The sequence below is a fragment of the Homo sapiens genome, chromosome 7 (genome assembly GCF_000001405.40).
Source record: "Homo sapiens chromosome 7, GRCh38.p14 Primary Assembly".
Taxonomy (NCBI): Eukaryota; Metazoa; Chordata; class Mammalia; order Primates; family Hominidae; genus Homo; species Homo sapiens.
Window position 1 is genome coordinate 495447 of NC_000007.14, and position 20864 is coordinate 516310.

The following is a 20864-nucleotide window of genomic DNA, read 5'->3' on the forward strand; positions in this document are numbered from 1 at the left end:
CAACTGCTCTGCGCACTGGACCCAGGCAAAGACCCAGGCCTCGGCTTCACCTACCGCTGGGAATCCCAAGACAGCTGTAGGGACCCACGGCTGGAGACCACCTGCCGTCACTGACTCTCCCAGCCAGTTCCAACCCCCTCCACAGCCAGGACACAGAGGCCTGGGTGAAGAAAAGGAAACACCCCCAAGCTAAAGGAGAAGCCCAGCAAAGGCTGGGCCCCAGCTCTCATGACCCCTGGCAAGGGCACGGTGTGAGCAGGTGCATTCAGGTGTCCAGGCAGGTGCAGGAACCTCGTTTTAACAGGCGGCACCATCGCCGCTCAGCAATCCCTGAGCCCAAGGGCTCTGTCCTCTGCCATGCTGGGGCCTAGAAACACTAGAGGCTGGAGTGAAGTCCCAGCAGGAGGAGGCAGCAGACAAGACCTGCACCAGGTGAGTCAATGGCGAGGCGTCCTTACCCTGCCTGAGCTGCAGCTCCGTTTCACAGATGTGCACGCCGACATGCAGATGGAGGCCCCTCGGTCAAGGTCACAGGGCTCACAAGACATGAAGAGCTGACCCTGGGCAGAAAGTCACCTTCCTGAGCCCAGATCCAGGTGCAGCCCAGGGCTAGGGGCCGGGAGGGGGCCCAGGCAGGAGCAGAAATCCCGGGAACGCAGGGCAGAGCCGCGACAAAGGCTGCAGGCCCACGTGGGTGGAGAGGCTCGGAAAGGATCCAGCCTCAGACCACAGCCCCCGCCACACTGCAGCCCTTCCTGGCTGGAGTGGCCTCCACTCTGCCTGCCCCTCCCCAGGGCTCTCCCCATGTCGGGACAGGAGGGGCTGGCACTAGGGCCCTCGCCTGCATGGATGAACCAATGAGGGAGAAAAGGAGGGAGTGAGGGAGGGAAGGAGTAAGTAGGGAGAGAAAGCAGGCCTGAGTTCCCACCTCTACTGCTACCTCAGCCACCCCTGGGCTCCAGACCTATGGAATTCTTATGGAATTCTCTCTTCCCCACCTGGCTTTTCTGCCCCATCACTTTAATGGACACGGTATTACACCAGACGACTTTATACAAAAAAGAAAAATGGAGCATTGTCGCCAGCATCTCATGGAAACAAATACATGTTACATTGCCACACGTCACATCCAATGCACATTCCTGGGCAAGGCGCTGTAACCGGTGCAGATCTGGACAGCAGCCCACAGGCCCAGGCAGGGCCCCAGCAGGTGTCCAAGGAACAGGAACCAGCTTGCAACCACCTGGCCCTGCACTTCCCCTCCAGCCTCCAGGCTGCCCTGACGAGGCTGAAAACAGCACCATGAAGATGAGCTGTTGAAGATAATCCTTCGTAAGAACCTTCCAGCAGCACATGGACAACAGACGCCAGCCGGCCGCCAGTCCACAGATGGTCCTCGAAGAACGCGGGGTCAAGATTGAAAGCAACCTCGATGGTTTGTCTCGTGGGCCTGGAGGTGGTGGAGGGGCCAGCCCGGGCAGGGTATGGTGAGTGCTGCACATGGACACACCAAGACAGGTGGGCTCCCTTCTTGGATGAAACTCTTCATGGTCTTCTGGCTACTCTGACACTCCTCATCCGCTCCAGGGAGTGGAGCCTGCAGGAGGATGTCCTCGGCCTAACCCCCATAGGTGCTGAAGTCCGAGGTAGGCAGGCATCCCACGGGTGCCACCATGGAGGCAGGTCCAGGGACCCCACCCAGAAAGCTCTGACCTCCGTTTCCACCCAACACAGCACCGCATGACCTGGCAACCAGGGTCTAGACTCAGTGCTAGAAAAACGTACCACAAAACGCTTCTCACGTCCACGGGTTTTGTTGGTGGTATTTTTTTTTTTAATTTTGGATCAACAAAAAAAGAACATAGCAGGCTCTCAGGTATACAAAACAGGTAATATTAGGTAAACATACAAACTTCACCTTTACAAAAAAACAAACCACACACACACATTTCTGTTAATACAGGTAAAGCACAATATCTTACCAAAAATAAAGAATTTGGGTTCTGTCCAAACACTGGCAGCAGAGGGAGTGACCGCCACCACGGCACCAGGGCACACCAACAACACAGACAGAAGCGGCAATGCATCTCACGTGCCGCGTGGGAACACAGCATTCTAGGTGTGCACTGCGGGGAACAAGTTGTCACTCAGCCACAAACGGGCTCTGGGGCAGGTGCCGCAGGGACGGCGTACGATTGGTTGACGCATAGTTCTTTCAAAATGGCTTAAATTAACAAATAAAGCAGGGTAAGGGAGAAACACAAAGCCAGAAACATTTAGGAAATGATGCATAGGTAGGTATACCATGTTTATTTTAATACATCTCATTAGTTTGCATCTTGCTAGGAAAAATACCGTCGCACTGTCCTGACAGTTACAGCAGCCTGTGTGTTATCGGTGTAAATGTCATCCAAGAGATAATTAAAAAAAAAAAAAAAAAAAAAAAGCTAGCCAAAGAGTAAAAAGGAAAGCTTAATAATCACTTTATGGTGTAAAAAAAAAAAAAAAAAAACAAAAAAAAAAAAAACAAAACAAAAACAAAAAAAAAAACCACTTAAGGCTCTCAGGAAGGTTTCTGTATGGGCTTAAATACTACAGCGAGGAGGTGTGGTTTCTAAAGTTCGCGTGGCGGTTTCCAAGACATTCCTGCTTCCTGCGGGCCCCTGCAGAGCCCACCAGCACCCCTCTGGAGTCGTTCCCAAAGCAGGCTCTGCATCCTCGGCAAAAAAGCACCTGTGACCACCCGGACAGAAATCCAGTCTGCTGAGACCTCTGCACTTCCATCCCACGGGGCGACCCTCCATCTCATCGAGTTTAGATATTTTTGTGAGTCCGTTTTGTTTTTGTCATTTGTGGTTTTGTTTTCTCTCTCTCTTTCTCTCTCTCTCTTTTTGACAAGGAAGCTTCTTACTGCTTCACCGAGTGCTACAATACTTGCTTTGATGTCACATTAAACAAATGTGCACTGTCTCTTTGTTCTCCCGAGTGTTCTCGGACACAGTTTTTCACGGAGGAGAACAAAGACCGCACACTGGCAATAAAGCACCGTACATAGTAGGTTCAGGAATGTAACACGCCATGTACATCCATGTCCCAGGAAAGGGCTGCGGCTCATCCTCACCTCACATCTGCAGGGAGAAGGGAAAGACAGACACTGAGACCACCGACCAAGTGAACCACCCAGCACACACATGGCTGCATAGGAGGAAAACAGGGTGAAAACATTTAACCCAATCAGGGGCACACAGGGATTTCAAGTTTTCAAGAAATTTCCAGAATCACATTTGCCACATTGGCCATGTTGCAGTACCCTGACAGGAATTGGGATTAGGCTCACAGCATCTCACAGAACATGTCTAGAGACCAAGCCCCATTCTCCCATTGTACAGATGGGGGAAACTGAGGCCAAGAATGGCTCATTTGCCCTTCTCTCTGCCTTCCTTTCTTCCAGCCTAGGGCTTAGATGTGATTTCTGGAGCTCTGGCAGCCACCTTGGGCCATGAGACAACCCTGAGGATGGAGGCCACCAGCCAGACAGAAGAGTCTGCACCCAGGCAGACCTATGCTGATCGTTTAAGAACAATTCTTCCACATCCCATGTGGCCTCTCCATCGCACACTCCAACACGTGGGCTGCCTATAGGCTGAACATGAGTACCAGCCAGGCATGGGACAACAGGAGTGCCAGCCTCTCACCATGGGGTCTGTCACCAGCAGGCCCATGGAGGCCAGAGCCTAACGCTCTGTAGAAATGGGACCCACAGGCAGGCACAAAACCACCCACCAGGCCACACTTTCAGCAAACAAAGCCAAGGCTGACCAACAGTCCTGGACTGCTTCAAAGACCCGCCCAAGTGGACAATTTCCTCCCAAGAGGCTCCTCATGAATGGACCTCACCCGCAGGCCCAAGTCCCACATTGCAAACAGGAGCCAGGGTTCTCAGACACCCTATCTCTGAGATCCTCCTCTCTTCTAAAGAAACTATTTGTTTTGGCCACCATGGAGTCCCACGTGCCAGGAGGGGGAACCAGGCCAGACAGGGCTCCAACTTTCCCAAGCCAGACGGGCCAATGCCAAGGACCAGGAAGGCTTGAAACTGCCTCCTCCGTGATGATGGCGGCTGCCCAGGTCCCACCTCCATCTGGGAAGCGACATGTCTTGCTAGGAGACATTTCCCAAGCTCCCTTGCAGTGGAGGGATGGCAGCTGAGAAAAACACAAAAGTCACTGGGTGGGATTTCCAGGATAGCTCTCTAAGGGTGTTATTTTGCCCTTCCCCCCCCCCCCCGCTCACTCCTTCTTCCAGCCTGGAGCACAGATGTGGTTTCTGGAGCTTTAGCAGCCACCTTGGGCCATGAGGCAACTGCAGATGGATGCCACTAGCCAGACAGAAGGCGGACACTGATGATACCTCAAGACTACCCTCCCTGCTCTGCAATCCCACCCTTAGATGAAAGTCATGAAGCTCGATCTTATCTCAATCCCTGTGCTGTCTGGTGTTACTAGCAGCCAAATGCAATTTCCAACACAGTAGCCAACAGCCCTGCACGTTTATAAAGGATTTCCAGATATATTCAGCCTCCAACAGTCCTTATCTGTAATCTCAGTTAAGCCTCAGTTTTTTCATCTGTCAAATGGGGTGGGTGATCCCAGAGTGGCCAGGCGCTCAGAGCTGCCCCACCGCTGCTCAGGTCGCCCAACCTGTTCCATTCATGTGCAATGCTCCTGCATCCCCAATCAACGACAAAGAGAAGGACAAAGCTGGAGGCAGGCTCCCAAGCGGGAGTGAGCCACGGGCCAGGGCGTTCTGCGAGGCAGGAGCGGACGGGGAGCAAGGAGACCCAAGCCCAGCAGACACCATCAAGGCCAATCAGGGCCACATCCCCGCCGCACCCGGCGAGACAGGAAGCGTGATTTGCTGGTGTGATCAGTCAGTTGCACCTCCCCGCCCTGCAGGACTCAGTGTGTCCGGCAGACAGTCCTACCTGGTTGGCTGCTTTAGGTGGGTTTTAACCTTTTTCTTTTCCGTTTTTTACCTGACTCCCTAGGCCTTCCTGTTAACAAAAGGGCAGGGCGGTGAGTGGGCCGAGGGACGGCCGTCGGGGTGAAGAACTGAAGCAACAAATACCTACGGCATTTGTTTATCTTTCCAGAAGAGAAGGCCAGCACCCTGGCACCGAGAAACTTCTGAGTCCCCTCATGCTCCCAGGGCCCAGCCATAGCAGGGCACAGAAGCCATTCTGCTCCTGGGTGGAGTCCGCGTGGCGGGGTGAAGGAGAGACCCCAGCCAGCCAGGGCAACTGCAGTCCTCGAACCTGCTCCTCCCGCCCACCCTGGCAGGAGGCCCTTCTGCAGATTCTTCTCAGCTCAGCCCCGCAGCCCACTAATGAATTGGGTGTCTTATGCACTCCCAGCCCCTCTCAGTGAGACCTGAATCTCCTCTCCTGCCAGTGCCGCAGCTTGGGCCACCCTCCCCACCGGACACCTGCAGGTGTGGGATCCGTCTCCCCCGCAGGCATCTGGCCCGGGAGCAGGGCAACGAATCCTTCAACAGCAGCCCAGATGCTCACAGCAGTAAGCGTTGCGCTCAAGGGGGCCACCTAACACCCCAAAAGCAAGGCTCTGAAGACCTGTTCTCCAACACCGATGCCGACGAAGGCAGCCACTCACCCGTGTCCTCTTCCCGATAATCCGGATTCAGGCTTGTGGTCGCGCAGGCGCACTCCAAATGCTCCTCTAACCTCACCTGGACTTCTTTTAATTTTGGCTTCTTCCTGACGTATTCCACCTTGGCCACCTGCCAGAGAGAACAGAGCCCGGCCATGAATGCCTGCATGGAGCTTCGGACATCACGACGTGCTGGGAGCCGGGGACAGGCTGAGAGGGAGGAGAGAGCAGCCTGACCCCTGACCTCCTCCCAGAAACACTACCTTGTGGTGGGGAGTGTAGCAGTACCAGGTGAAAAACCTACAAGCTGCAGTGCAGTTTTGTGTGTGTGTGTTTTAGTTTTTTCTGAGTAGGGTCTCACCCTGTCACCTAGGCCAATCATAGCCTCTGCAGCCTCAAGCTCTTGGGCTCAAGTGATCCTTCCACCTCAGCCTCCCACCTGTAAGCACAGGCCACCATGCCCAGCTAATTTTAAATATTTTTTTTGTGTGGAAGAGATGAGATCTCGCTATGTTGCCGAGGTTGATGTTGAACTCCTGGACTCAAGTGATCCTCCTGCCTCAGCCTCCCAAAGTGCTGGAACTTCAAGTGAGAGCCGCCGCGCCTGGTGTTGGAGCATGGTATTTAGCAGACTCATCCTATTTTTGTTTAAAATAAACCCAAAGGTTCACGTGTGCCTGGGGGGGCTGAAGGATGCACACTGCTAAGGTGTGGAAGTTTGGGAGTTCTGGGGTGCAGGTGGCCAGGGAAAGTGTTTGCTTGTGTGTGGATGTGCAGCTGGGAAATGTTTTCAAATGATCACGTTGTTTTTAAATACATTTTAAAAGCCAGGCTGAGCATGGTGGCTCACGCCTGTAATCCCAGCACTTTGGAAGGCCAAGGCGGGAGGATCACTTAACTCCAGGGGTTCAAGACCAGCCTGGGCAACATAGTAAGACCCTGCCTCTAAAAACAATTTAAAAATTAGCAAGCCATGGTGGCACCTGTAGTCCCAGCCTACTTGGGAGGCTGAGGTAGGAGGATCGCTTGAGCCCAGGAGTTTGAGGCTGCAGTGAGCTGGTATCACACCACTGCACTCCAGCCTGGGCAATACACCAAGACCCTGTCTCTATTAATATTAAAAAAAAATTTAAAGCCATGGCCTAGGAATGGGGGGTTCGTGGCTGTATCCTAGCCCAAGGTTGCTGTGGACTTGAGCGTCCAGATGATAATCCCAGCTGCTGGCCTGATGAGGGCCCCACCTCCCCGCCGGCCCCAGGCAGCAGGGCCAGCAGACCCATACCCAGGGTCCCCTCATGGCTCCCCCAGGTCCGAGGCTCTCCTTGGGCTCGGAGAGGCCTGACCTCGGAAACCAGGGCCAGGGATCCTGGGCCATCACCGAGGCTACACAAGATGATCCAGGAGGAGCACAGGCCAGCAGGCCGTGGCTATCAGGCACAGGCAGCTCAAAAGCGAACCAGACCTCAGCTGGGTTCCCCTCTTCGGACTGGACTTTGCCTGTCTGCGAGCCACGCCTGCCCTCAATTCTCCAGGCACAAAACCACAACATGGGGGTCCTGCCTCCACAGCCCCTTCCCCGGGGAGCTGCAGGCAGACAATGGCCCAGTCCAGGCCAGAGAGGGGAGCTTCAGGCATTCAACAAGAGAGGCAAGAAATCACACACACACACACACACACACACACACACACACACACACATAATGCACATATAGGCCCTGTCACGGGAACACAACTCCACCCCACACACACACCTGTATAATGCACACACATACCCTGTCATGGGGAGGCAACTCCACCCCCCACCAGTCATGCATGTGTAATGTACACAGGGGCCCCATCGTGGGAATCTTACTACACACACAGAGTGCAAGCACGCACACGCCTGGCATCAACAGACCCCTAATACACAGCCAGGGACTGCATGAGTAGAGTATTGGCTCTCCCAGCCCAAACCCCAGCACTCATTTCATCCTCCCAACCATGCTACAAGGAGGCAAGACTGGCACCTCCATTTACAGAACAAACTGAGGCGCAGGCAAGCTCTAACTAAGCCTGTCCCTAATTGCTAGGCTGTCCCACCTGCCCCCTGGAGCACACACCAGGGAATAGCCACCACCTTCCTGCCCTCCCAGGCCCTGGGGAGCTGAGCACCCAGCAGGCGCTCCATCTGTGCCCACGGAACCAGCCCTGCCGCATGCAGGGTCTAAATGCAAGAACAGCCACTATGGATCACCCACTTCACCCCTCACGGTTCATGGGGAAACTGAGGCTAGAAAGGAAACGGAGGCCGGGTCACCCCCTGAGCACAGGGGCGTGGGGGAATGCACGCTGCTGGGTGAATGAGGAGACCTCAGCCCAAGGCCAGATGCCCCCAGCCCAGTGGCCCTGCCTCCCAGGCAGTCAGGAGGGTGAAGGAGGGAGGAGGGGAATGTTTCCCAACCTTCTTGGGGGGAAGGGGGGACTCCAGACTCTGGAGACTGGGCATCAGCAGGGCCCCCAGGGAGAAGGTCAGCTCTGCACCCTGGGACCAGGCAGGCTCCGAAGGTAAGCCGGTCCCTAAGGCGCTGGGGACCAGGCTTGTCCGAGGCTGAGTTAATGGTTAACCCACAGTGCAAAGGGTGCCTGCAGGCGTGTGAAGTGGTCTGGGCTGCCTGGGGCGTGAGCAGACAGCCAAGTATGAGCTCAACAGTTGCAGGGCGTGGGGCGCCTGGGGTCAGGAGCCAGCTCAGAAACAGGACCTGGCCTGGGAGGTTTCGCTACGTCACAAAGCGTGAGAGAAAGCGGCCAGGACACTGCCGCTTCCTACATGGGGCTCCGTTCCACTCGGGAGGCCTCAGATCAGCCTCCACACTCCCGCGGCAATCTGCCCCTTTCCCCAGGACAGAATCCTCCAGAGAGAGGCCTCCGCAGGCCGTGCACACACTTCCACCTCCCATCTGTAAAACGGAGACCAATCACACCCACCCAGGAGTTGAGGAATAAATGAGGCTGCACATGCAGAAGGCCCCAGAAACGAGGACAAAGCCAGCCTTCAAGAGTGGGCTGCCACTGGCGTGGATTCTAATCCAGAGCCCCAAAACCAACCCACCCCCTGGTCCCCAAGCTCAGCACAGTACCACCACCCACCCACCACAGGCAGAGAGTGGGTCTAGAGCCACCCTCCTGTTGAGGGCCTGGGGTCGGAGAGGCCCGGCCCGAGGATGAACTGCAGCAAAGCCCCAAGAGGAGCAGCAGGGCCACCTGGGACCTCAGCCACCCCCAGCCCTGCAAGCATGTCCTCAGCCCTCCCTGAGTCAAGAACTGCCCAGGTAGTAAGTAACTAGGGATCCCAGTGCGCAAAACCAGGCCCAGCCCCCTCCTGCCTCAGCAGGGACCGAGTTCCTTCCTCCCCTCCCCTGGAGGCCCTGGACACAGGTCCCAGCAGGAGGAACAGCACCAGCCTCACACCCTGCCATCTCCCAGGCTCGAAGCACCCATACTCTGCTGCTCCCACCCACCCCCAGCCTCTGCAGGGGTGGCCAAGTGAGGCATGGGGCAGGTGGGCTCTGAAATCTGGGTTCGTGGGGATGGGCTCGGGCAGGGCGCCCTGTTCTGCTCCCGGCCCTGACCCTCCGGATGGCACAGCCTCTTTGGTCAACAAGCAGCCTCACCTAGTTCCCTCGGCAGGGCAGATACCAGGGCCTGGCTCGGCAGAGACCGCAGGCCCGTCTGGCCAGACACCAGACGCCCAGGCGAGGGGCAGGCTCGCTCTCAACCACTCGAGATGGCCGGCCACCGCGGGCGCGTGGGCTCCCAGGACACAACAGAAATGCCACCCCTCTGGGCACCGTGCGAAAGGCACATGGCACGGCCGCTCGTCTGGGAACCCACTGCCTCCTCAGACAAGCCCGTTTTTATCAAACAAAAACAAACAGCGATGATTGCACCTGTTTCTGAGTATGCCAGGATTCCGGGCCGTTCCGCCACCTCTGTCTGGCCAGGAAATAGCTACATTTTTCTCCCAAGAACACAAAATGAATATTGGATTCTCACAAAAACCTCCTCCATAAAAGAAGGCCAAGTCCAAAGAACAGACTACAATGTCCTCAGGACCCCCACGGGGGGTACCCCGGCCCCCAGGCCCCAAGCCGAAGCCCAAGTGATGGGGGGGGTCCCCATGTCCCTCCCCTTTTTCCGTCCCAGAGATGTGGGCTGCACCTTATCACACCAGACATTCCGATTCCCCACGGCTGAGTTCATCTGCGTCGTAAGCCGCCCCACCTCAACACTCCCGGCGCGAACTCACCCAAGACTACAACCCAGGGATGCCGTCACCCCTCTAGACCTGGGATGCCGAGTCCCTACTGCTACAAAGCCCAGAAGCTGCAGAGACCCCCTGAGGAGGGCTTGGGACAGCCACTCCCTGCGGGGGACCCCACCCCAACTCCAGGTTACGGCCTGACCCTTTCAAGGCTCCAAGACAGAGTATTAGCCATGAAAGACACCTGACTGGACCGCACGTGCCCGTCACTGTAACCCTCACAGCTACCCTGTGAGGACACCATCGTGGTCCATTCTAGAGATGAGAACACACAGCACAGACAAGGGAAGCCCCTTGCCCAGAGTCACACAGCGTTGAATCTCCATCCCTAGCCTGCACTCCTTCTCACCTCTTTCACGGAAAGAAAGCCTAGAGTCCAGAGCCCTGGCCCCACCGCCCCACAGCCCCACCTGGGTGTCTCTCGACAGAGACTTGGAATGTCACTCAATCCAGATGCTGACTTGGGTCATGAGGACCCCAGCTGGGTGCGGTGGCTCACGCCTGTAATCCCAGCACTTTGGGAGGTCGAGGCGGGCAGATCACCTGAGGTCAGGAGTTCAAGACCAGCCTGACCAATATGGCGAAACCTCATCTCTACTAAAAAAATACAAAAAATAGCCAGGCGTGGTGGTGAGTGTCTGTAATCCCAGCTACTCGAGAGGCTAAGGCAGAAGAATTGCCTGAACCCGGGAGGTGGAGGTTGCAGTGAGCTGATATCGGGCCACTGCACTCCAGCCTGGGCAACAGAGTGAGACTCTGTCTCAAAAAAAAAAAAAAAATCCCTCAAGTCGGGCGTGGAGGAGGTTCATACCTGTGATCCCAGGAATTTGACACCAGCCTGGCCAACAAAGCAAGACCCTGTCTTTATAACAAAGAAAAAAAAAGAAGATCCTGCCTCCTTCAGCACTGCCCCCATATCCATTAAGAATGGAAGCAATGCCCAGACCTCAAGCTCGTGTAAGAGGCCCCTGCCCAGCCTGGCTCAAGAGGACCTCCACTCCGCCCACCTAGAGACTCCTGCACCAGACCCCAGAGAGTGGACAGAGTCGTGGCTGGGAGCTTCTCACCCGTAACACCCCAGCCACTCTGTTCCAGGGAGCAGAGGCCCATCCCAAGCACCAGGTGAGCACACACCTTCTGGAAGCCTCCAGCACAGCAAGGTGGGCTCAGAGCCAGCTCCGTCCAGGCTAGACCCCTGCAGTCCTCGGGCTGGCATCTCATCCCCATGGTCCACGTTCAGGCCCACACTCCTGTCCTACCCCCGAGGCTTGGGTCTGGGGGAGAGTCGGGCGTCCAGGCACCAAGAGCTAACTGTGCCAGGCAGAGTGCAAGGAAACACCCACCCAGCTAGGGACCCCGGCCAGTCACTCCCCCAGGGCTGCCGGTCAGTCACATCCTGGTGATCCCAGCAGGGTCTGTGCCAGGCAGTGACACTCCCAGCTTCACTACCATCCATCTTCTAACAAGAGACCTCTGAATGTTGACCGGAAAGGCATAAAAACTGGAAATGGGGGATGCCATGCCCATCCTGGGTGGACAGACTTTGGGGGCCCCTCCCGGCCAGCCCCAACCCCTTTGACCTCAGCTGACCCCATCCATGCCCACTCACAGGCACAGAGTCTGAGGCTCTGGGGCCCATCTCCTCGCCAGGTTGACAGCCGCCTCCATCCGCAGCGGCAGGACCGGTCTCTTGGCTGAGCCTCCAAAATGGGCCTCCTGTTCCCTCTGACCTTTGTCCCCTCAGCCAAAGCCCCCTGGGTCCAAAGCCGGATGTTTTCCTCCAACCCTCGGATGGGTGGGCAGGGAGAAGACGCCTCCCAGAAGCGGGAACATGAAGGGGGCCTGGGTCTGAGGAGGTGGGAACTGGGCCGCCAGGCTCTGCTGCAGGACACAGCCCTGAGGCCTTAGGACACCCTGTCCCGGCAGATGAGACCCAGAGGGAGAGCCCTGGTCCTGGCTCTACCACTGCACAGAGCAAAGCAGGGGCCACTCCCAGCGGGGAACTGGCCCTCACCCCCAACACTGCACTGGCCAGAGGGTGCTGGAAGCCTCTAGACCCCACCCAGCCTCCTCAGGGGGCCGGGGGAGGGAGAGAACACTGCCCTGTAGGGCCAAGCCCTCCTATCCTCACCCCATGACAGGCCAGGGTGGGAAGGGCAGGGGCTGCACAAGGCTGAGCCATGGGCTGAGAGCCTCTCCCCGTACCTCCAAGCCTCCCCCAGCACCCAGAACTGACATGAGAATCTCTAATGAGAACAAGACCACAGGCATCCCGGACTCAGAGCTCACAAGGGCCTCCAAAATATAACCAGGGAGGATGCCAAGGCCCACCGAAAGGCAGAAACTGCGCCCCAGGGAGGCACACAGGACAGAGGGGATGGTGCTGGGCTCATGCCAGGGGGGCTCATGCCAGGGGGACCCAGCCACACCTGGACCTGGAGGCCTGAGTTAGGCCCTCCCCTCCCCTCCTTCCCTGACCCCCCGGCGGTAAATATCCTGAGGACAGAAGAGTGCCGCAGACAAGCACTCCCAGGGCCCTGGAAAAATCTTGGGGCTTCAAAAGGGGAGTGAGTGGCCTTGGAGATCCCGGGTAGTAAGATGTGGAATCTGCTTACTCAATACCCAGCACCTCAGAGGACCAAGTCCCCAGAGGCCAAGATAAGTCCCAGTTATGGGTCTAAAGTGCCCGGTCGTGTGACGAGGAAACGACCCGGCTGGCTGCAAAGTCCTTCCCGGAGAACCTTCTCCCCGCCGCCCCATCTCCCTCCGGGGCCTAGGAGTCACAACAGTGGGGGGCGGGGGTGTGAAATAATTCTTTTCTAAAGTTAAAGAATGGTTACTAATGTAGCCCCAAAACTTAAATCCTCAAACATCATTTCAGTGACCCCATATTCCAGGAAAAGCAGGCTCAGCTGTCACCAAATCCTCAGCTGACTTGAGCCCAGGGGGTCCAGAGCAGGCTGGGCAACACAGCGAGATCCCCGACTCTGCAAAGAATTTAAAAATTAGCCAGGCATGGTGGCATGCACCTGTAGCATTCAGGAGGCTTAGGTGGGAGGATAGCTTCAGCCTGGGAGTCCGAGGCTGCAGCAAACCATGATCGCACCACCACACTCCAGCCTGGGCAACAGAGCAAGAAGCTGTCCCAAAAAAAAAAAAAAAAAAAAAAAAAAAAATTCTCAGCTGAGGCCAAGCCAGGAGGCTCTGAGTCAAAGCAACAGCCTCCTGGACTAGGGGCCGCACCCGCCTGTGCCCACTGCTCAAACTCATGGGTCCTGCAGGTCAGGTGGGAGCATCAACAGCACTTTAACCCAACTGAAGCCAGTTTCCAGGGAGAAGAGCCCTAAGAGAGCCCATCCCTCCCAGATGGGAGCCCCAGGGAGGTGCCAGCCCCAGCCAGGCCTCACAGAAGCTAGAAGATACCTTAGACACTCACCCTGCAACCCCATCCCGAAAACGGGAGACTGATGCCCCAACAGGCAGGAAACCTCCCTTGCAAACAAGATGGCAGCAGCCTCGGCTCTCCCAGAAGGGCCAGGCCCTGCCTCAGACCCATTGCACAGGTGAGGAAAATGAGGCCAGAGAGGCGCAAACACAGGCCAAAGCCAGCCCACCCAGGGCGCTGCATCCTGCAGGTCTCTGGGCACACTTCCCTGAAAGCAGGGAGAAGGGGCCCAGCCATGAGCCCCAGGGCCTCAGCAACGCAAGAAGACCTTCAGCAAGTTCACCCGGGTGCTGTTCCTCCCCCAGCGCAACCCCAGGGAGGAAGGCCCTGCTGTGGCAGGAACGCCAGCACCCCCAGGATTCTTACGCTGAAATCCCAGATGAAGGGGACGGCGTTAGGAGGTGGGGTGTCTTAAGGTAGCCATTAAGTCCTTTTTTCTCTTTTTTTTCTTAGAGACGGAGTCTTGCTCTACTGTCCAGGCTGGAATGCAGTGATGCCATCACAGCTCACTGCAGCCTCAACCTCCCGACTCAAGGGATCCTCCCACCTCAGCCTCCAGAGTAGCTGGGACGACAGGCACTTGCCACCACGCCTGGCTAATTTTTGTATTTCTTGTAGAGATGGGGTCCTGCCATGTTACCCAGGCTGGTCTTGAACTCCTAGGCTCAGCGATCCTCCAGCCTCAGCCTTCCACGGTGGCTGGGACTGCAGGTGTGAGCCACCTCGCCTGGCCCGATTAGTTTCTAGGGTAGAGGCTTCATGAATGGAATTAGTGCCCTTCGAAAGCAGCCTAGGGAGCATGTTCATCCCCCGCCCCTCACACTGATGGCAGAGCGAGAAGGTGTCATCTATGAACCCAGAAAACACGGCTCCAGCGGAGACACAGTCTGCCGGCGCCCTGATCTTGGACTTCCAGCCTCCAGAACTTTGAGAAATACATTTGTTGCTAATCAGCTCCTAGTGGATGGAATTCTGCTAAAGCAGCCTGAAGAAGGCAGGCACCACCCCCAACTTAAAGAAAGAGGGGCTCACCCTGGGATTCTATGGAAGGAAGTCTGCTGTCTGGCCTCGAGCCCACCCCAAGCACTCCTTCTCCTTCTCCTGGGCTGCTTTAGGGGGGAAGCCGGGGGGGCCCTCCAAAGGTCAGGCACTTCAAAAGGCAATGCAGGCTCTGAATATCCACCCCCTACTCCTCCTGCCATGCACCTCGGCCCCCACTGAAGAGCCCGCACAGGACCCTCCAGGGCCCGGGGACGCCAGACAGCTTCCGGCTAAGCAGCTCGACACCTCGCAAGGCCCAAAACGGCCCCCGCACTGTGGTCTAGGGCGTGGAAAGGAGGCCAGGCTCGTCGCCAGAGCAGCAGAGCAGAAGCCCCGGCCGGCCCTGCCTTTCCCGCACCCCCAGGTGCTCCTTCTCCTCCCTGGGCCTCAGTGTACCTGCCAGGGAGATGGGAGCGCAGCCGTGCACCCCCACCAGCCACACCAGGGGCACCTTGTGGCCTCCCAGGAGGGACCCTGGCAACCCAGTAGGGGCGACCCTCAGGCCTGCGTGGGGCAGGGCTCACCTGGATGCTGCAGTGTTGGATGCGTGAGGGACCCTGGCTGCTTGGTAGGGGCGGCCCCGGGCTCGGGTGGGGAGGGGAGGGGAGGGGCAGGGCTCACCTTGACGCTGCGGTGGTGGACGCGGGAGGGACCCTGGCTGCTAGGTAGGGGCGGCCCTTGGGCTCGGGTGGGGAGGGGAGGGGAGGGGAGGGGAGAGGAGGGGAGGGGCAGGGCTCACCTTGACGCTGTGGTGGTGGATGCAGGAGGGACCCTGGCTGCTTGGTAGGGGCGGCCCCGGGCTTGGGTGGGGAGGGGAGGGGAGGGGAGAGGAGGGGAGGGGAGAGGAGAGGAGGGGAGGGGAGAGGAGAGGAGGGGAGGGGAGGGGAGGGGAGGGGAGGGGAGGGCTCACCTTGACGCTGCGGTGGTGGACGCGGGAGGGCTGGCACTTGACACTGCTCGTGTTGCAGCAGCCGGTGCAGCGTTTCACCTCCACGCACGGGGGCCAGATCAGGAAGTTGGCGGACGTGGGGTCGACCTGACTCCGAGGAATCTCGTAAATGACCGTCCTGGTCTTGCAGACAGCGGGGACAGCTTCCTCTGCAACGGCGGGGGCACAGTGAGCGGGGACCGGCCTCTGCGACCACGGCCCCACCCCAGGGCTGAGGCGGCTCCAGCTGGGCCTGGGGGGCAACCAGGGTAAGCCACAGGCCAGGATTCCTCCCAGGCAGCAGAGGCTGAGCTGGGAGCAGAGGCTTAGGGGCTGGGTGGGCAGGAGCACCACACATCCAGAGGAGCCCAGCCCGGTGCCTGCAGGCTGGAGGGACCTGGACAGGTGGGGCCAGTGGCTCGGAGGGGAGGGGAACTTAGTCCAGGTGGGGCCAGTGGCTGGGGGTGGGGAGAGGGGAACTTAGTCCAGGTGGGGCCAGAGACTGGGGGTGGGGAGAGGGGAACCTAGTCCAGGTGGGGCCAGAGACTGGGGGTGGCAGGGGCAGAGGGGAACCTAGTCCAGGTGGGGCCAGTGGCTGGGGGAGGAGGGGGCCTTAACAGTGAATCCTACAGCACTTGCTGCATGCTCTAGCCTTCAAAAGTGGTCTGAAGGGTGCAAAATGCAGACCCCACAGCAAATGTCACCTGGGGAGGGCCTGCTTGCATCAGCTGGGACTAGCCAGCCACACATGACACTTTAAGGTGGAAGATACAAAATCCATCTTCATGGAGGAAACCACAGCTCAGAGAGGGGGGTCCACCTGCTCAGGGCCCCAGAGCCATGAGCAGCACCAGGGCTCAAACCCATCAGGTGGGACCCCCGAGGACGCGGGACTTGGGTAGAAAGCAGGGACTGGCCCCTGAACTCCCCAAACCTGCTAGTTCCTCCTCAGGGGGCTGGAGGGCCATGGGGCTGTCCTGTAAGAAGGGACAAAATATCCCCCAAATGGACGCGGGGGTGGAGCCCTGGAGCCAGGTGTGAGTGGGGCGGGGCACACGGGTGTGGTGAGGGTGTCGGGGGGCAGCCGCCGGACACAGCACGCGCGTCCCCACCAGTTCAGCAGCCGGCGCAGGAGCACGATGCCCACACTGCGAATTGGAAATTAGGCGCGACCACGTTTCCGGCAAGGCTCCTGGGGACAGGCCCCGACAAGACAGGGCGCTTAAGGAATTTATGATGGCTCTTCTCTCCTGGAAGCTCTCTTGGCCCAGACCAGGACTCCAGGAGGAGCAGGCGGGCTGGGGCAGGAGACACCCTCGAAGGAGGGAGGCCTCGGGAGAGGCCAGAGCCAGAGGCACCAGGGCCAGGCCTATTTTAGGGAGGAGGGAACGGGTGGCTTGCCTGAGGCCACTGCGCTGGGAGAGCGGGCAGCTCCTCCCCACCCGGCCCTGCCCTGCCCATCGCGGCCTCCTGGACTCACCCTGACCCGGCCCTGCCCTGCCCATCGCGGCCTCCTGGACTCACCGATGCTTCTCTTCCTCCGAATGGGCAGGGGCCGCTTCTCGGGCACATGCTTAGTGGCATGGACCCCGTGAGCTCTCAGGCTGGTGTCCAAAGAATCCTCACTCCCTGCAGGCGGAAGGAGAACACCGTGAATGCCCCAGGCCCGTGCGCTGTGCCCTGGGCCTGTCCAGCCGCACTTCCCACAGACCAGCTTTGGGAGCCACTGGGGAACAGGCACCTGGCGGCACAGCCCCTCACAGCTCCCGCCATTAGGGGCCCTCCAGGAGAACCTCGATTCCCACCAGGGCTTTCCAGAGATGCAGGGCATGAAACACTGGAAACCGCAGAAAACGCCCCGTTAGCACAGAGGTCCCCACATTCAGGGGCCCGTGACGAAGCGCAGGGCCCTTCGGGGAAGAGGTTGCAGGTGGTCTCCCCTACGGTGCCTCCTCCAAGGTAGCCCAGGTGAGGGCTGCCCCGGGGCAGGAGGGGCCTGAGGCCGCCCAGCTCCGTGCACCTCCCCGAGGGGCACAGGGCTAAGCCAGGCCCCACCTCTGTCTGGGGGCTGGAGCGAGGGAGAAGCAGAGGCCGCTGAGATTTCTGCAGGTGCCTGTACGTCTCCCTCCCTCCCCCTCACTAAAGCACTCCTGGAAGAAGTGGCCTAACCTCTGAGGGGCACTGGAAGCCGCCAGACTGGGCTGCGGGCCAGACCCCACTCATTCCTGAAATGAGTCTACTCTAGGGCCAGCGGCCATGAGGAGAGGCAGGAGGGCACGTGGCCTCTCGTGGAGGCTACACGGAGGAGTTCCCGCAGCCTGACAGAGGGAGGCGGCCTGCGGAGAGGGGTTGAGAGAAGCTGGCATCTGCGAGCCGTGTTTACAGCCAGGCGGCCAGGTGCAGGTGGGGCAGTGGCCCAGAGCCAAGACCAGCACTGACCGGGGAGCAGAACTGAGAACCTATCCCCGCCACCCCACCCAGCTGCACACACCACCCCTTCACAGGCGCTGACGGCTACAGCAGACAGGCTGGGGGAGTCTCAGGTCTCTCCAAATCCCGCAGTAGGGAGAGGACCCACAGTCCTGCCCATGGACACACTGCCCGCACCTGGGCACCGCGGGTGGCTCTGGGCCTCCTTGCCTTGGCCCCCTGGTCCCAGCTGGGGAGTCTCTTCCCATCTCCCTCCATCCTGCCCCCCCCACCATATAACCAAGGGTGAACAGGCGCGGAGACAGTGAGCCTCACAGCCAGGATGCTCCAGAGGCACAGAGATCTCCCTGCCCCCTCCTGGGAAGCTTGGGAAGTCCCGGTCACCAATCCAGACGGCTAATGGGCTCTGCACCTCCTGGGTTCAGGACTAGCAGCCCAAAGTGTCTCTCCCCAGCCCATCGAGGCATCCGTGACTATCCACAAACCAACCGGAGAAACCTCAGCTTCCTCCGCACCCCCGAGGAGCCTGCGGATTTAAAATGAAGCCCGCAAACCTCACAGAAGGTGTCAGGCAAAGACGAAGCTCGCCCGGAGCCCAACTTTTTACCGAAAATGACTCAATGTTCCAATGACACTAATTTTTTTTGAGACCCAAAATAAGATCAGAACAGAACTACTCATGCAGTAAGAATTTCCCATCAACCAACTGTTACAAGCAGCATTTCTTTTCATGAAAAAGTGACACTTATGAATCACATCCTGGTGGTGGCCATCTTGCCATGGCCAAACCAAAGAGTAACGGGTCCGTTCTCCACTCGTAGGAGAAAATTCAATAACACCAGCTCCCATTTTCCGATGCCTTGTGATAGCCACGTTTGCATTAGCTGCTTTACCAATGACTTAGCTTCTGAGTGTGCGGTGGGTGCTATCACTTCTTCACATCCGAGGAAACTGAGGCCCAGAGAAATATAACAGGACCAGAAGTGGCTCGCAGGAGACTCATGTGGTCTGCGTCCACAGAGCACAGTCCCCGTGCCCCGCCACCCTCTAGCCCTGGCTTAATAAACAGAGAAGACGGCAGCCGTGCTAGCTCATTGACCCCCAGAAAGCCTGAGCTGGCAAATTTCTTGAGACAAGGGACAGAGGGGGAATAGCTCCCAGTCTACCAAGCCCACCCTTTGCTCCCAGCTCAAGATGCCGAGAGTGGACCACGCTCACCAAAGCCGCCCACAGCTCACCAAACACAGCTCTGAGCAGCCCAGGCCCAGGTGGCCTGGCCGGCAAGAATCACCCCTAAAACTGCTCCCAGGACAGTTAACCAGGAGGCTTTCCCTTTTGTCTTTTAGGCACAGATGTCCCAAGGACAACTCCAGGACAGGGAGAATCTCCCAACCATCAGTCCTGGTCTGGCATTACTGGCCCGAGATGGGGCTATTTACGTTATCAGCCGCTCAATGAACCACGGGCGCCAGGCCAGACCACTTTGGGGAACAAAGCTCCCCAGCTGCCACTGCACACAGGACAAACAGGCCCTAAACGCGGGCTGCCGGTCATTAAAAGACCACATGCTGGCCTCTGGATCTAAAAGCCACAGGTGAAAAGCCTTCACTCTTCACTCCAGCACACCCTCCGAATGAAACGCTTGGGCTCCGGGAGGATGGTGAGGAATCCCACTACCCGTGCTCCTCCAGCCACAGTCAAGGAGCGGCCAAGACCCCAGACGGTGCCTGGCTCAGTCTCCCCAACTGTACAGTGGGACGCAGCCTGCATGCTGGGAGGAGCCAAATGCCAGTCACAAAGCCCCACCCACCTGGAGGAGGAGTCAGCATAGCTGGGGCGCACCCCTGGGATTCCTCAAAGCCTCTTTTCTGCTTCCTACAGCGTGGGCCTTAGAGGCACCTAATGCCAAGAACATCAGCCTGGAAGGGTTATAAAGGGACTCCGAGGGAAAGTTCGTTGCGTTGGGTTTCTCCCAGCACCCAGCCCCTTCCTCATGAGCCCCTGCACTGTCCCCTGCCCCTAACAGACCAGAAGCACCTCTGGATTGAAAAGGGAGTCCAGGACCCGGAGGGATGCTTACCCAATGAGAACTGACCTCAACCAGTTTACAACCCTCCCTACGACAGAGAACGGGAGTTGAAGAAAAGACACCCCCTACAAGCTGGAGGAGCAGCCGGTGCCTCTCCTGTCCTCAGGCGAGAGACTGTGGGTTTCTCTGGTTCTGTTTTCAGCCACACCTGGGGAGGGGACTGGACAGGACCAAGGAGGCCCCCCTATGTTACAAAAGGTCCCCCACCAGGGGCAAGAGAGGAGGTAGATGCCACCCCCATATTCTCACACACAAAGCCTCCCAGACACTAGGAGAATCCTATTCAGACCCCAAAACCTCTCACGGACACAGGAGGGCTGAGATCCACTCTGCATTCCCTGGGGCAGGAGGAGAGAGCTCCTGGGACATGACTGCAGAGGGAATTTGAAACCGGCCAGGACTAGCTTAGGGGCATCCTTGTTTTTTTCTGTTCGGACCCTACGACCTAGAAGCCCCCGGGTGAGGAATGCCATCAGCATACCCCACGAAGCTGCAATGCTAAAGGCGATAATGGGTGGGGGTGGAGGAGGCGGGGCGCCAAGACCAGAATAAGAATAGTCCCAGCAGAAAGTGAATGGCCCATTTCCCTGCAGCTTCCAAAGCCAGTCCCACGAGGAGGCCCAGCTCTCCACAAGCCTCCCCTTCTGCTAGCACCCCCCCCCAGAAAAAGCCCTGAAACCTTCTCCAGGAAGCAGCCCCCCCCCCCCACTTTTCCAAACCCATCCAGGACCAGCGAGATTCAGGCAAGGGATTCCCCCCCACAAACCAGAGCCAGATCCTTTTCCCTAGAGTTATCCACTGAGGGATCCGGTCAAAATCCCCCCGCCCAGCTGTGCTGTGGGAGTGAAACTCTACCGCACCCCCCACCCTCCGCCCCCGATAAGGATCAGCCCAGGGATTTCCTGGGTCAAGAAACTACAGAAACCATCGGCCTTGTTAGAAAATGGTTTTGGCATGAAACGAAA

The 20864-nt window shown here is 58.1% G+C and overlaps 1 protein-coding gene across 17 annotated transcripts in view, besides 8 other annotated features; it reads right to left on the bottom strand.

Annotated features, from left to right (window-relative positions):
- Positions 1 to 922: an enhancer, noted in NCBI's record as "H3K4me1 hESC enhancer chr7:535084-536005 (GRCh37/hg19 assembly coordinates)". NCBI's record gives its function as "activates a minimal SCP1, AML or CMV promoter by ChIP-STARR-seq in primed H9 embryonic stem cells {active_cell/tissue: H9 hESC(primed)}" and the evidence as "EXISTENCE:reporter gene assay evidence [ECO:0000049][PMID:30033119]".
- Positions 923 to 1843: an enhancer, noted in NCBI's record as "H3K4me1 hESC enhancer chr7:536006-536926 (GRCh37/hg19 assembly coordinates)". NCBI's record gives its function as "activates a minimal SCP1, AML or CMV promoter by ChIP-STARR-seq in primed H9 embryonic stem cells {active_cell/tissue: H9 hESC(primed)}" and the evidence as "EXISTENCE:reporter gene assay evidence [ECO:0000049][PMID:30033119]".
- PDGFA (platelet derived growth factor subunit A) overlaps positions 1812 to 20864 on the bottom strand; it is a 23443-nt gene continuing 4390 nt past the window's right edge. For 9 of the 17 annotated variants that reach the window (NR_172526.1, NR_172527.1, NM_001395365.1 and 6 more), the window contains 4 exons: positions 16905 to 17009; positions 15363 to 15550; positions 5670 to 5796; positions 1812 to 3128 (listed from right to left, as the gene is read on the bottom strand). Coding sequence is in view for 15 of the 17 variants with exons in the window: in NM_001395365.1 (NP_001382294.1) it covers positions 3118 to 3128; positions 5670 to 5796; positions 15363 to 15550; positions 16905 to 17009 (431 nt within the window). In the remaining 2 variants the exon portion in view is untranslated. Of the gene's footprint in view, positions 3129 to 4984; positions 5054 to 5669; positions 5797 to 15362; positions 15551 to 16904; positions 17010 to 20864 lie in introns of all 17 variants that reach the window. The other 8 variants (XM_047420456.1, XM_047420455.1, XM_011515415.2 and 5 more) reach the window with 1 other exon arrangement.
- Positions 8252 to 9029: an enhancer, noted in NCBI's record as "H3K27ac-H3K4me1 hESC enhancer chr7:543335-544112 (GRCh37/hg19 assembly coordinates)". NCBI's record gives its function as "activates a minimal SCP1, AML or CMV promoter by ChIP-STARR-seq in naive H9 embryonic stem cells {active_cell/tissue: H9 hESC(naive)}" and the evidence as "EXISTENCE:reporter gene assay evidence [ECO:0000049][PMID:30033119]".
- Positions 14850 to 15357: an enhancer, noted in NCBI's record as "H3K27ac-H3K4me1 hESC enhancer chr7:549933-550440 (GRCh37/hg19 assembly coordinates)". NCBI's record gives its function as "activates a minimal SCP1, AML or CMV promoter by ChIP-STARR-seq in naive H9 embryonic stem cells {active_cell/tissue: H9 hESC(naive)}" and the evidence as "EXISTENCE:reporter gene assay evidence [ECO:0000049][PMID:30033119]".
- Positions 15358 to 15865: an enhancer, noted in NCBI's record as "H3K27ac-H3K4me1 hESC enhancer chr7:550441-550948 (GRCh37/hg19 assembly coordinates)". NCBI's record gives its function as "activates a minimal SCP1, AML or CMV promoter by ChIP-STARR-seq in naive H9 embryonic stem cells {active_cell/tissue: H9 hESC(naive)}" and the evidence as "EXISTENCE:reporter gene assay evidence [ECO:0000049][PMID:30033119]".
- Positions 16882 to 17389: an enhancer, noted in NCBI's record as "H3K27ac-H3K4me1 hESC enhancer chr7:551965-552472 (GRCh37/hg19 assembly coordinates)". NCBI's record gives its function as "activates a minimal SCP1, AML or CMV promoter by ChIP-STARR-seq in naive H9 embryonic stem cells {active_cell/tissue: H9 hESC(naive)}" and the evidence as "EXISTENCE:reporter gene assay evidence [ECO:0000049][PMID:30033119]".
- Positions 19506 to 19800: an enhancer, noted in NCBI's record as "tiled region #8552; K562 Activating DNase unmatched - State 14:Gen5', and HepG2 Activating non-DNase unmatched - State 10:DNaseD". NCBI's record gives its function as "activates a minimal TATA promoter and a strong SV40 promoter by Sharpr-MPRA in K562 cells, with weaker activity in HepG2 cells {active_cell/tissue: K562 | HepG2}" and the evidence as "EXISTENCE:reporter gene assay evidence [ECO:0000049][PMID:27701403]".
- Positions 20176 to 20677: an enhancer, noted in NCBI's record as "NANOG hESC enhancer chr7:555259-555760 (GRCh37/hg19 assembly coordinates)". NCBI's record gives its function as "activates a minimal SCP1, AML or CMV promoter by ChIP-STARR-seq in naive H9 embryonic stem cells {active_cell/tissue: H9 hESC(naive)}" and the evidence as "EXISTENCE:reporter gene assay evidence [ECO:0000049][PMID:30033119]".